The sequence below is a fragment of the Homo sapiens genome, chromosome 10 (assembly GCF_000001405.40).
Source record: "Homo sapiens chromosome 10, GRCh38.p14 Primary Assembly".
In the NCBI taxonomy this organism is placed as follows: Eukaryota; Metazoa; Chordata; class Mammalia; order Primates; family Hominidae; genus Homo; species Homo sapiens.
In genome coordinates, this window is record NC_000010.11 from 132,268,218 (window position 1) to 132,282,602 (window position 14,385).

Here is a 14,385-nt window from a genome sequence, read left to right on the forward strand (position 1 = left end):
CCACATCGTGTGTGTGTGTGTGTGTCGGTGTGTGTGCATGCATGTGTATGCAGGTTCAGCTCTATGCCTGTGTGCATGCATGTCTCTCACATTGTGTATGTGTGTCGGTGTGTGTGCATGCATGTGTATGCGGGTTCAGCTCTATGCCTGTCTGTGTGCATGCATGTCCCACATCGTGTGTGTGTCAGTGTGTGTGCATGCATGTGTATGCAGGTGCAGCTCTATGCCTGTGTGCATGCATGTCCCACATCGTGTGTGTGTGTCGGTGTGTGTGCATGCCTGTGTATGCAGGTGCAGCTGTGCCTGTGTGCATGCGTCACATTGTGTGTGTGTGTGTGTGTGTGCCTGCGTGTGTACATGCATGTGTATGCAGGTTCAGCTCTATGCCTGTGTGCATGCATGTCCCACATTGTGTGTGTGTGTGTCGGTGTGTGTGCATGCATGTGTATGCAGGTTCAGCTCTATGCCTGTCTGTGCGCATGCATGTCTCACATCGTGTGTGTGTGTGTCAGTGTGTGTGCATGCCTGTGTATGCAGGTTCAGCTCTATGCCTGTCTGTGTGCATCCATGTCCCACATCGTGTGTGTGTGTGTCGGTGTGTGTGCATGCATGTGTATGCAGGTGCAGCTCTATGCCTGTGTGCATGCATGTCCCACATCGTGTGTATGTGTGTCGGTGTGTGTGCATGCATGTGCATGCAGGTTCAGCTCTATGCCTGTGTGCATGCATGTCTCACATCGTGTGTGTGTGTGTGTCGGTGTGTGTGCATGCCTGTGTATGCAGGTTCAGCTCTATGCCTGTGTGCACGCATGTCCCACATCGTGTGTGTGTGTCGGTGTGTGCATGCATGTGTATGCAGGTGCAGCTGTGCCTGCGTGCGTCACATCGTGTGTGTGTGTGCCTGCGTGTGTACATGCACGTGTCTGTTGGTTCACGTTGCATCGTGTGTGCATGTGTCACATCGTGTGTGTGTCTGTGTGTGCATGCATGTGCCTGTGGGTGCAGCTCTGTGCATGTGTCTGTGTCTCCGTGCATGTGTGTGCACACGGTGGTATGCACAGGGTGCTGCACAGGGTCTCTTCAAGTGAGCTGATTACGTGCCTGGCCTCATCTGACCGACACATGGTGCCTGGAGCCTGGAAAATCTGCTGCTGAGCTGCAGGACTGAGATGCAGCCTGGATTCCACTGGCCGCACCGGATCTTCCCCTGAGCTCAGGGCTGCCTCCCAGCCCTGCTGGCTGCTGCAGGAGGACCTGGGGAAAGTGTGTGGCAGCAAGCTGCAGCCTCACAGCCATTTATCACCATCACTGCTCTGCTAAGAGCCAGCGCCTCTGGGCTGGCTGCTGATGGATTGATTTTCCCCAAGGGCAGGAAGGCTGCTCGGGGCTAACAGCTAGTGGATGGTCTTATTTTCCAAACCTGAGCTTATGAGACAGACCCCAGGCTGTCGCCCAACCACATCCACCTGGGAGCATTCCAGACCCTTGCCTCGCCTTGCAAAAGGTGGAGGTGGGCCCTGGGGTCCCCTTCAGCCCTGGCCTCCCCCGAATGCCTGTGGGAGCGCTGACTCCAGCGGCACAGTGGGGGCAGTTCTCCCAAGCCTGAGAGGTTGGTGTTGGGAGGAGGCGTTCAGTGAGAGTCCCTAGCCTGCCACGGCCATAATAGCTGACACCCACCCAATGGTGGCCTCCCAGCCACGTGGGCCCCGGATGCCTGAGCCAGGCCCCCTGTCCTCCACGCCTGACGACCTGAGCCCTCCCCTGACTGCTTTCATGGTCTCTTGAGAACCCTGCAGAGTTTACAAGCTGATGCCTGGTACTGCTGTAGGCCTTGGGACAGCGTCCCCTCAACCTGTGGCAGGGGACTGAGGGCAGCAGGGGACCAAGGGCAGCACCCACGTGAGGAGGAGGCCGAGAGAGCCCACCCCACCCCACACAGCCTGTGGGTGGCTGAACAATGGCTCCAGGGATGTCCAGGCCCCAGTCCCCGGACCTGTGATTCACCTTATGTGGCAAAAAGGATTTGGCAGATGTGACTGAGTGAACAATCTTGAGAGGGTGGGACTCCTGAATTATCCAGGTGGGCCCTAACTGCTCACAGCCATCCTTGCAGGGAGACACTGCTACCAGGGAAGGTGATACCACAAGTGAAGCACGGGCCCACGCCGCTGGCCTTGCAGATGCAGGGGTCATGAGCCATGGCTGCAGGGGAGTGACCTCTGGAAGCTGGAATTGGCGAGAGCAAACCCTCCACGGCACTTCTGGAGGGCAGGTGGCCCTGCCAGCCTCTGGAACTGAGAGTGAATGTGCACTGTGGGAACCGCAGGGTATGGCCGTGAGTTACGGCAACCCCAGGACCCAGCATGGCCTCTTCCCTTGGAGTCCCACGCCTGCTCCCCGGCCTGCCGGATATGAACCCATGGCCTTATTTGCTAGTGCTGCCTTGCAGAATGGCCTGGGGGTACCAACCAGACACCCCTCCCTCCCTCTGCGTCTGTAACCAGCAGAGAACCCACAGGCAGCCCAAAGAGAACCACAGCGAGCCCTGCACATCACCCTGGACTCAGAGCTCCATCCTGGCCACGGTGAGGCTGCGGAGTGGCCCAGGGCTTCTTCCCATCCTGGAAGCATCCATCAACACACCTGGTGAGGACCCACCTGTGGCCCAGGGCAGAAGCAGGACCAGAAGGATGCAGCCCCCCTCCAGAGCAACAGCCAATAAGGGTAGGGCAATGGGGTGGGGCCTCACCTCCCACCAATCAGAGGGGGTGATCTGTCCTAAGGGAGGAGCCAGGGGTGAGACCAAGGGGGTTCTGAACCACAGTCAGATGGGGTGCAAGGAGGGTGGCACCCCCAAAGTGACTCAAAGACGCAAATGACTAGGGCTCCATTATCAGATAGAAATACAGGGGGTGAGGAGTGTCCTAACCGGGGCCTTCCATTCAGCAGCCGGCACCCCTGACCCATGGCTGGGGACTGTGGCATCCAGAAGAGTGTCCCTGGGCTCAGGCACTTCCAGCCAGCTTCGGCCTCCACGTGGCAGTGGCCCATACACCCCATCTGTAAAGCAGGCAGCCCTACAGCAACGGTTCCCAGGCCCCTGGCACTCAGGAAAAAACCAGCACACCTGGCAAGAGACCCAGGCAGAGAGCTGCAAGAATAGCATGGAGGGTCAGAACAGAGGCCACGTTCCCAGAGCCCCCAGCTCCTTGTCCCAACAGTGTGGGCCCGTGCTGTGCCCACGCCCTGCCTCACTGGGCACCTGAGGCTGGCCCCACACCTGGCCTCACACAGAAAGATGTTGTCCCGTCCATTGTGGCCAAATCTGACCCCACACACAGCACTCAGGGTGGGAAGAAGGTGGCCGTGGCGTCAGCATGACACGGTCATGTCCGGCTGGGAGAGCTGGTAAGACCTGCAACCACGGATCCAGCCCCCACCACTGAAAAACCACGGTGGTGTTTCCCTAAGGTGGCCAAAGCACACATCGGAGTGACCTGGGATCACCCGTTCCTGACCCCAGACTCGCGCCCTCCCCGACACCCCACACCTACAGAACAAAATTTCCAGGTGTGGGTGGGGATCTGGAGTCTGAGTTTTCCAGAGACTCCTGCGGCCTCCTGGGCACACTGTGCTCAGAGCCACGGCCCTGCCCCTTCCCAGGCAGCACTGGGGCTGCCTCAGTGACAACACCACTGCTCAGTGCCCGGACGCCCGGACCTCCTCATGTTTGTGTGTGTGCTGGCGGGGCAAGGCCCCTACCCTGAATGCATGTCTAGCTTCTCTCCAGCTCAGCTGAAATGGGGAAAGGACAGACCAGGTGTGCCTGCAAGCCCCGGCAGGGTAGGTGTGTCGTGGGCTGTGCTGTGCCCCCGAAGTCCTAAGCTGAGGCCCTGACCCCTCGTGCCTCCGAGCGTGGCTGTGTGTGGAGATGAGATCTTCAAAGAGTTGGTTAAGGTGAAGCAAGGTCACGTGGGTGGGCCCAATCCCACTGGACCGTGTCCTCACAGAAAAGATCAGGACGGAGACACCCACAGAGGAATGGCCACGTGAGGACGCTGCCCACGAGCCAAGGAGCCAGGCCTCAGAGGCAGCCAACCCTGCCGGCGCGTGGTCTCGGACTTCCAGCCTCCGGATCTGTGAGAGTGCAAGCGGCTGTTGTTTACGCCACCCACGAACAACCCGAGCAAATGAATACAATGTCTGAAACCCACAACCCAAATCTAACGTGCCCTCAACCCAGCTCCCTAGCTCACACTGCCACAGCCCCAGTTACCAACAGCTCATCCGGATGCTCGGCCTGAAGCCTTGGCATGGGCTCGACTCCTCTCTGTCTCACACCCCAGCCCGTCTGTCGGGAAATCCTGCAGGCTCTTCCTTCAAGCGTTCCCAGACTCCGACCGCATCTTGCCCCTCCTCTGCTTCTGGCCACCGTCCACTCCCGCCTGGATTCCTGCAACAGCCTGGTCTCCCCGCCTCCACCCTCGCCCTAGAATCTATTCTCAACAAAGCTGCAGGCGTCGTCCTTTTGAAACAAACATGTCAAGCCCCGCTCTGCTCAAAGGCTCCACACTCCCATTTCTCTCAAGTAATAGCCCATGTCCTTCCGGCTGCCAGCAAGCCGTCCAGGACCCAGCCCCAGACCCCTCTGGCCTCGGCTCCTCCACCCTCCCTGTGCCTGACTCTGCTGCGCTCTCTGAAGCAGCCCAGTGAGCCCACCATGCGGCCTGTGCACCAACAGCTCCCTCTGCCCGGAGCCCTCTTCCCCAGAGCCGCACGCTTTGCACCCTGGGCTCACCATATCCCTATTTAGTGTGTCGTTTTCACCAAGATTTCACCCCAATGAAGACTGCAATTGCCCACATCATTTTTTTCCTTGCTGCCCCCCTCAACAGTATTTGTTTGTTAACATCCTATACATTTACTTAGCTTCACACAAATCAGTTCCAATCCACTCAGCCTTTCCACTGCTTTGAATAGGCTGACGGGGCATCTGATAGAGCTTTCTGTGCTCACTAAGCGACCCCACCAAGAGGGCAGCCCCCAGTCAAGAAAGGAAGCTGCTCAGCCCTAAAGGTCCTGTGAACGGGCTCTAAGTCCCTGCAGCTCTAGGGTGGGGCAACTGCAGGTGTCTGTGGGGCTCAGGGAGATATCACTGCAGTACCTCCTCCAGATCTGTTCTCAACAAAGCCCTGTTGAGTGAATGAATGAGTGAATGAATCAGTAGATGAGTGAATGAAAACACAGTGAGTGAATGGTGAGTGAGTGAACGAATGCACGGTTAATGATAATGAGTTAGTGAATGGGGAGTTAGCAAATGAGTAAATGAGATGAATGAGCGAATGAACACATGGTGAGTGAATGAATACATGGTTACTGAATGAGTGAAGGAGTTACTGAATGAGTGGAGTTACTGAATGAGTGAAGGAGTTAACAAATGAGTGGAGTTAGCAAATGAGTAAATGAGATGAATGAGTAAATGAACGAGTAGATGAGAATGAACACACGGTGAGTGAATGAATGCACAGTGAATGAATGCAGTGAGTGAATGAACACATGGTAAGTGAATGAATGCATGGTGAGTGAATGAGGTGAGCAAATGAGAGATGAGTGAATGAGTGAATGAACGCACAGTGAGTGAATGAATGAGAGTGGATCTAAGTGAAAGATCATAAGAGCCCACTATGCGTGTGCTGACCCCAGCCCCATACTGACTGGGCCTGGGCTGCCAACTGCGCTTCTGACTTCTCAGCTGATTCCTGGTGTGACCCTGGGCTCTGCTCTCTTTTTCCATAAGATCCGCAAGTTGTGGGAGGTGCACATCGACTTAAACATTTGCGAGGTGAAGCAAGCTGAGGTGCAGGGGTTGGGGCTGGAAATGCAACCTACAAGGAGAATGCATCAGTCTGCAGATGCCTGCGGGGTCATTGCTCAGGACGGGACCAGACAGCAAGCACCATCCACGCTGGGTGTGGCCACACTGGGACTCAGCGGAGAGGCTGGCTCCTCCTGTCCTAGGGCCTGGGGAGCAGCCAACAGCTGCGCCCGGATTCAGGACTCACACGAGGGTAATGTGGCGTCTGAATCAAATGCCCATCCCACACCAAATGTGGGTCAACAGAAGCAACACACCATTGCTAGGGAAAGGCGGCTGTTTTAAATCCTATCTCATGGTAAGTGCACGGTTTTATTTTGGACACTTCTTCACAGAGAAATTTTCGTATGTGTTTGATGGGAGGTCAATATATGAAGATTGACAACTGTTCACAGTTGTTTTGCAGGAAATGTGCAGTGACAAAACCTCGTACCAGGCTGTGGAGGCTGCACCGCCCGCTGACATTCACCTGAGGCTTGGGAATCTAACAGGGCCTGGCCGCAGAGCCTCCCCTGCCCTCAGCCCACCAGGAGCCACGGACGCCGGATCCTCAGGCTGCACTGGTCCCTCAGGCGTGGGCCTGTCTGCAGAATAAACCCGGCTGAGCGCAAACCTCAAAATCCACGGGAACCAGGCCTCGGAGGGCCCCGAGATGTCCCCGAGTCCAAAGCCTCCTCGGCAGTCGGCCACCTCCACCCCCAAGTCACCTGTCGCTCCGCCGCACAGGCAGCCAGCAGGCGCCTCCTCACCCAGGGACGTGGCAAGGCTGAGTCACTCCCAGGACTCCTTCAGTGAGAGCCTTAAATCCACCCTGTTCTTCCACTCCCTGGAGGGTGCCCCAGCTCCAGAGAGGGGACAACATGGAAGGTGACAGCCGGGACAGGGACCGAGAACCCTGTGCCAGCCCCAGCTTCTGAGGGCCCAGCACCATGGCACAGCAGGCCCAGTGTGTGGTTCACGGTGTCCCCCAGGGCCGAGGAACCAAGTTCCTCCTGGAAGCACCCAGGGGGCCCAGGCAGCAGGTACTGTCCCTGGTGCTGCCATCTGGCCCATCAGCCCGTCTGGCCTCAGCCCTGACAGCAGCCATGGGAGGTCCGGCATCCCCGTACCCGTGCCCACCATGTCTCTGGGCAGTGCTGCCCCACCAGGCCCCATGGCTACTCACAGACAGCCCCACAGGGCCGCTGGTGGGGGTGGGTGCTGGGACCCCCGGGGAAGATGGTGAGTCAGCAACAGTAGCAAGGCTGGCAGGTGCAAGAGGCCGAGGGAAGGTCCAGGGGTCTGGGATGAATCTGCCCCACCTGCCCTTGGAGGCAGCCATCCTGGCCTTGGAAACATCTAGATGTCGTGCCATGGACGTAGGATGAGAATCAGGTCCCTTTCCTGGAATCCAAGCAATAAGAGAGCCCAGGACATCCTAGGATTTTGCTCCAGAATCACCTCCGAGTCTCAGTGCCCGCTCTTCCTTCTGGCCACTCCGCCGACGTGTCACTGCAATGCAGGGTCACAGCACAGCCAGGCCACGGGGCCAGTGGCCAGGGGCCAGCGCAGTGCAGAGCCACCCACCGTCACTGACGCATCATGCCGCAGGGATGAGGACCTGGGCCCATGGGCTTCCCACACCACCTTCTCTCAGGCTCCAGGGTCTGCCTTCCTGGGAAATCCCTTCAAACGTCCCCTTCCATTAGAGAAACTACAGCCTTCAGCGGAAACCTCCTCAGCAGCTCCATGTTCTTCCTGCCCCTCTTTTCTCCCCACCTCCTGGCATCTCTGAGAAGCAGACACCCAGGCCTGTGTCGGGCAGGAGACTGTACAGGAAAACCCCCTCTGCCTAGGAAACCTCAGCCCCCCACCCCGCAAGTGGTGGCTGCCTTCCACCCTGGCATGCGGAACGGTCACAGTGAAGGCCCGCGAGGATGGAAGACCCCCAAGCCGCCACACCACCAGGCTGCCACCCGGTGACGCCAGACCCACATGCGAGGCTTCCCTCATCATGAGATGAGCCTGGAGGTAATTCTGGGGCCCAGCTTTTGGACCAGCTTTTCGGTCAGCAATTTTCGAGTCCACACAAATCAGAAGGTGGACCCACAGCGAAACACAGAAAACAGCATGACCGCAGCAGAAAAACCATTTTCAAGGGAAGATGCAGAAAAGTGAGCTTTCAGCAGAGTGATGAGATGCCACCACGCCAAGTCTGGGATCGGCTGGCATCAGGCGCGTGATCCTACAGACACCAGCCATCCCACAGACCTCCTGGCACTGGGCACTGGAACAGGGTCAGGGTCAGCACCTGTGCCAGCTACACGGTGTCTAAATGTGGTCCTGTGCACCTGTGAATGCCAAGAAGGACATCACCACAGGCACTCAGAGCATCTGCATCCACCCGATACACTCAGAGCACAAAAGGGGCGAGGCACGGCGGCTCACGCCTGTCATCCCAGCACTTTGGGAAGCCAAGGCGGGAGGACTGCTTGTGGCCAGGAGTGTGAGACCAGCCTGGATAACACAGCAAGACCCCCATCTCTGAAAAAAAAAAAGTTTTTAATTAGCTGGACATGATGGCACACACCTATAGTCCCAGCTACTCAGGAGACTGGGGCGGGAGGATTGCTTGAGCCCAGGAGCTCAAAGCTTCAGTGAGCTATGATTGTGCCACTGCAGTCCAGCCTGGTGACAGAGCAAGACCCTGCCTCAAAAAAAAAAAAACCCAATGTATCTTCTCCCAAGGTTTCCTCCGTTACCCCAGCGTGGCCCACGGTCCCCAAGAGTCCAGGTCAGATGCAGGCTATGGCTCCCCAGGGCTCGAGGCCGTGGCTGCGCCCCATCTGGGCTCACTGAACGGCCTCTGTTCCTGTCCCTCCCCAGCCCAGCCTCCCCTCCTCCATTCCTCCTTCCAGCTCAAAGGATTGGATTATCACCCTGGGAAAGGGATGTGCTTATTTTTGACCAACTGAATTGAAGTAAGGAAAGGCATTATTTCTAGACAGAGTGTAAGACTCTGTTCTCTTTTATGTCTCCAAAAATAAGAGTCAGAAGAGCCGAGCAGGGCCAGCAGTCTGCCTTCCCATGGATGCACAAGTTTGTGGATTCTGGGCTGCGTGTCTTGGCCAGGACCATCAAAACCACCGAAGACGGGCCGAAGGGAGTCAGGGCCCTCCACGAGAGCCGCTGGAGAGAGAGCCAGGGAGGACACCAGCACCTGGACTTCCCAAGTTGCAGCACAGAGACGGCCACAAAACTGGGCTCCAGCCCACCATTCCTGTGCGGGGAGGTGGCCAGGCTGAGGAGGCTGGGACCACACCAGGGCCCTGAACATCCAGAAACATGGCATGCTGCCCTTCCTATCCACTGACCAGTTTCCTTCTCAGGAACCCAGAGAGCCAGCCTGGCCCCCGGCTGCAGTTCTGTGCCCACCGCCTTGCTGGATGGCAGCTGGAGCTCACTGAGAGCTCAGTGGCCAATCACCTGCCTGCCCGTGGCCCTGCAGGGAATCGGCAAGGAGTCCAGAGCCTTGCTTTGCAACTGCCTTTGGGACAGCGGCAGCCTTTGGGACAGCTGCAGGCAACATCCCAGGCCTGCAGGGGACTTTATTCGACCTTGACCCAAGCTGGTCGGGGCAAAGCATTGTGGGGAGCAGGGTGTCTCTTCTGAGTCCCTTGCACAGACAAGTGCACACACACATGCACACATGCTCCTTTCCAAACCTCTGCCTTCAGGCTGCAGGAACCTGGCTTCTCACCCGGGGCCCGACACACCCTCCCGACCTCTCCTTCATTGGCTGTCTCGGTGCAGGGCCAGCCTGCACTCTGGCTCACCTGGGAGAGGGTCTTTCTTCATCTCCCAAATCACGATAAAATCACATGAACATCCTGTTGATGGCAGAAGGCAGCAGTGGCAAAGCAAGGCTTCGGAGTTCCTCCCCAGTTCCCTCCAGGGAGAGGTGGGGGTGGTCTTGAGGGGGCAGCTTAGGAATAGACTCCTTACCATGAAGACCCCCTGGGAACCCATTGCTCACACCCCTCTCTGCAGACTCTGCCCTCTGACTTGGCTCTCAGAGCAGCTCCACCATCACTCTGTGGGGTCAGGAAAGAGACCTGGAGACACTAGATCCCCACCTCATGTCCAGTGACAGAAGAAACTACAAACCCAGCAAAGACCCACACATGCCATGCCCCGCACATGCCATGCCTCCGTGAGTTCTAAAAACAAAAATTCACCAGTGAATTTCTCTGTAATCCTGCAGCAAGAGAGGCCTCTCCAAGGAAGACAAAGACTGCAGAAGCTACAGGGAAAGGGCTCTTGACCAGGAAGATACACAGAACGCTACAAAAATGCAAAGCTTCTGCATAGATAACAATAAACACAGTTTTTAAAAAATCAAAATACCGGCCGGGCGCGGTGGCTCACGCCTGTAATCCCAGCACTTTGAGAGGCTGAGGCGGGTGGATCACGAAGTCAGGAGATCAAGACCATCCTGGCTAACACGGTGAAACCCCATCTCTACTAAAAATAGAAAAAATTAGCCGGGCGTGGTGGCAGGCGCCTGTACTCCCAGCTGCTCAGGAGGCTGGGCGGGAGAATGGCATGAACCCGGGAGGCGGAGCTTGCAGTGAGCCGAGATCGCGCCACTGCACTCCAGCCTGGGCGACAGAGCGAGACTGTCTCAAAAAAAAAAAAAAAAAAAAATTCAAAATACTACAAACTGAGAAAAAGCATTTGCAATACATATGACAAACAAGGGGCTACTTTTCTTACAAGGAACTTATACAGATTATTGAGAAAACCAACCCAACAGGAGACGGGGCAGAGGCCACGAGGGCCACTCATGGTACAAGAGTGTGTCAGACCCGAGACTGCCCTGCCTCAGTCCCCATTTAACAATCCAAGCCAAAATAGCAAGGAGATGCCCTTTGTCTTGAATACAGCCAGTGCCAGTTGCCCATATACCATGCAGGGGGCGGGGGACGGGGCATATAAGTGGCCCAGCCCTTCTAGAAGCAATTAGCAACAGTGATCAATAGTCCAGCTGCACCCAGTTTAACACAGTAATGATTGCAACTGTGAAGTTCCACAGTCAGCAAGCCCACAAAAATTCATCAAGACCGATGTGCAGTGACTTTCACGACTGAAGTGTAAGAACAAAAAGCCCTGGGCTACCCGTGTCCATAACAGGCGAGGTGACATGACCATGTTACGGCCATAACACGGACTCTCGTGCAGACGTTACAAACTAGGTGGAGCGGCGTGCTGATAAGAACATATCCCAAAGAGACAACATAAAGCCTTTGCAGGAGTCCAGAACACTCTGCACACAACACTCCTCTTCATGTAAATGACAGACTCTACGTGACAAGTACATGCATGTGTGTAAAGACATACACATGTGACCAGGTGCAGTGGCTCACACCTGTCATCCCAGCACTTTGGGGGGCTGTGGCAGGGGGATGGCCAGAGCACAGGAGGTCAAGGCTGCAATGAGCCATGATCATGCCCACCCGCACTCCATGTTCACGCCCCTGCACTCTGTAATCATGCCACTCCACTCCCTGATCATGCCACTCCTCCATGATCAAGCCACTGCACTCCGTGATCACGACACTCCACTCCGTGATCACGACACTCCACTCCCTGATCACACCACTGCACTCCGTGATCACACCACTGCACTCCGTGATCACGCCCCTGTACTCGGTGATCACACCCCTGCATTCCATGATCACTCTGAGGCCTCCACTCTGTGATCACGCCACTGCACCCCATCATCACGCCCCTGCACTCTGTGATCACGCCACCTGTGCTCCATGACCATGCCCCTACACTCCGTGATCACGCTGAGGCCTCCACACCGTGACCACGCCCCTGCACCCCGTGACCACGCCCCTGCACCCCGTGACCACGCCCCTGCACTCTGTGACCACGCCCCTGCACTCCATGATCAGGACACTCCACTCCCTGATCACACCACTGCACTCCATGATCATGCCCCTGCACTCGGTGATCACACCCCTGCATTCCGTGATCACTCTGAGGCCTCCACTCTGTGATCACGCCCCTGCACTCTGTGATCACGCCCCTGCACTCCGTGACCACGCCACCTGCGCTCCATGACCATGTCCCTGCACTCTGTGATCACGCTGAGGCCTCCACACCGTGACCACGCCCCTGCACCCCGTGACCACGCCCCTGCACCCCGTGACCACGCCCCTGCACTCCATGATCATGCCACTGCACTCCCTGACTATGCTGAGGCCTCCACTCCGTGACCATGCCCCTGCACTCCGTGATCACGACACTCCACCCCGTGATCACGCACCTCCACCCCCTGATCACACCACTGCACTCCGTGATCACGCCACTGCACCCCATGATCACGCCCCTGCACTCCGTGATCATGCCACCTGTGCTCCATGACCATGTCCCTGCACTCCGTGATCACGCTGAGGCCTCCACACCGTGACCACGCCCCTGCACCCCGTGACCACGCCCCTGCACCCTGTGATCACGCCACTCCACTCTGTGACCACGCCCCTGCACTCCGTGATCACGACACTCCACTCCATGATCACCACACTCCACTCCGTGATCACGCACCTCCACTCCGTGATCATGAACCTCCACTCCCTGATCACACCCCTGCACTCGGTGATCACACCCTTGCATTCCATGATCACTGAGGCCTCCACTCTGTGATCACGCCACTGCACCCCGTGATCACACCACCTGCGCTCCATGACCATGTCCCTGCACTCCGTGATCACACTGAGGCCTCCATGCCGTGACCACGCCCCTGCACTCCGTGACCACGCCCCTGCATCCTGTGACCATGCCCCTGCACTCCATGATCACGCCACTGCACTCCCTGACTACGCTGAGGCCTCCATTCCATGATCACGCCCCTGCACTCCGTGATCACGCCCCTGCACTCCGTGATCACGTCCCTGCACTCCGTGATCACACCCCTGCACTCTGTGATCATGCAACTACATTCTGTGATCATGGCACTGCACTCCATGATCATGCCACTGCACTCCATCCTGGACAACAGAGCAAGACCTATCTTTAAACACACACACGTGATCCTCGTGGACACACACACACACACACACACACACACACACACAGGTGCATAGACAGAGTGACCTTCAGGCCCCATCTTTTGCTTCTCTAGACTATGTCCGTGTTTGAACCTTCTACTTGAACTATTTTTGTTGGCAATAGGGGTTATCTGGGTGTGAGATTATGGGTTCTTTTCTGTTTCCTTCTTTGGGCCTCTCTGTTTATTAAAAAACAAAAGCCTGTTAAATACAACATAAAACAGACAGTGCCCCAGCTATTCCTAACGTACCTTACCGGGCCCGCTCCTGCTGGGTAAAAGAAAGCCATTTTGCCAGCTCACGTCTTAGTGGGCCTGGACCAGTGTATTCCAAGCTTAATATGATTGTCTTTTTTTAAAGGAAAAAAACATTCTCACATAGCCCAAAGAGTATGTTCATGAAGCCCAGCTCAAGAAATACTGTCTTTGAAAATCTTCTATCAGAAATCTTCTATCAGAAAAGGGCTCCGGTTGGAAAGCACTGTTGCGGACAGGGAGTATCCCCCTGGGCCGGTCGGGTGGTTTGTGCAGGTCCCCGGGAGACGAAAAGACAGATTCCCTCCCGGCACCTGCAGGCCCCTCTGCTTTGGTTCCAGGACCCACAGAAACCTGCTCCACCTTGGGAGAAGCCCGGGTGGGAGATCAGACATGGTGCTGAGGCCGCGGGGCAACTTCTCTGACGATGGCTATTTCAGCCCAACCAGGATGGTGGGGTCTGGGGGGAAGAGAGCTCCTCAGACGGGAGCCTGTTCACAGGGGCCACTCTCCCCATGCTGTCCGCTGCCACTCTCAGAGCAGCGTCCCTGCTGAGCGCCGACATTCAGAGGGAGGCGCCTCCCTGATCCCGGCCTGGAGGCAGAGCCGCCAGCTGGCCAGGCAGCAGCCCAGCCGCTCCGGGGGTGGGGGCGACAGGTGCTGGGCGGGGAGGCGCTACATTGTGTAACACTCAGCAGCCACGCTACACTTGGGAAGAGCGGATGTGCTGAAAATGCCCAGTGCAGGACCAAGGTGCGCCAACCAGCCCGCACCACGCCCGAGAGGCTTCGCAGCCGCCCACCCCGGCTCTCACAGCGCCCATCCCTGCCACACGCCCTGCCAGCTGCGCCAGCTTCCCCAGGCCGTCCAGAGTCGCTGCTGGAACTGGAATAAAGTCCTCTCTGAGACAGCTCCTGGGTGGTTTCCTGCAGTTTTCTGGTGGCTGATGAAGAGGGCAGTGCCAGGCGTCAGCTACCCACCTGTGCCTGCGCCCACCTGTACCTGCACCCACCTGTGCCTGCGCCCACCTGTACCTGCGCCCACCTGTGCCTGCGCCCACCTGTGCCTGCGCCCACCTGTGCCTGTGCCCACCTGTACCTGCGCCTGTCCTTCTGCAGTTCACTTATTTAACCCACAGCCATGGCTTCACCAGGGGAAGTGA

At 57.1% G+C, this 14,385-nt stretch overlaps 1 protein-coding gene across 11 annotated transcripts in view; it reads right to left on the minus strand.

The window, feature by feature from the left end:
* STK32C (serine/threonine kinase 32C) overlaps window positions 1-14,385 on the minus strand; it is a 124,754-nt gene that overhangs the window by 60,736 nt on the left and 49,633 nt on the right. Inside the window, exon 1 of one of the 11 annotated variants that reach the window (XM_047425115.1) lies at window positions 4,277-4,297. The exons of the other annotated variants lie outside the window; for them this stretch is intronic. The gene's annotated coding sequence lies outside the window, so the exon portion shown is untranslated. Of the gene's footprint in view, window positions 1-4,276; window positions 4,298-14,385 lie in introns of those variants that run through there. 11 annotated transcript variants of the gene reach the window in all.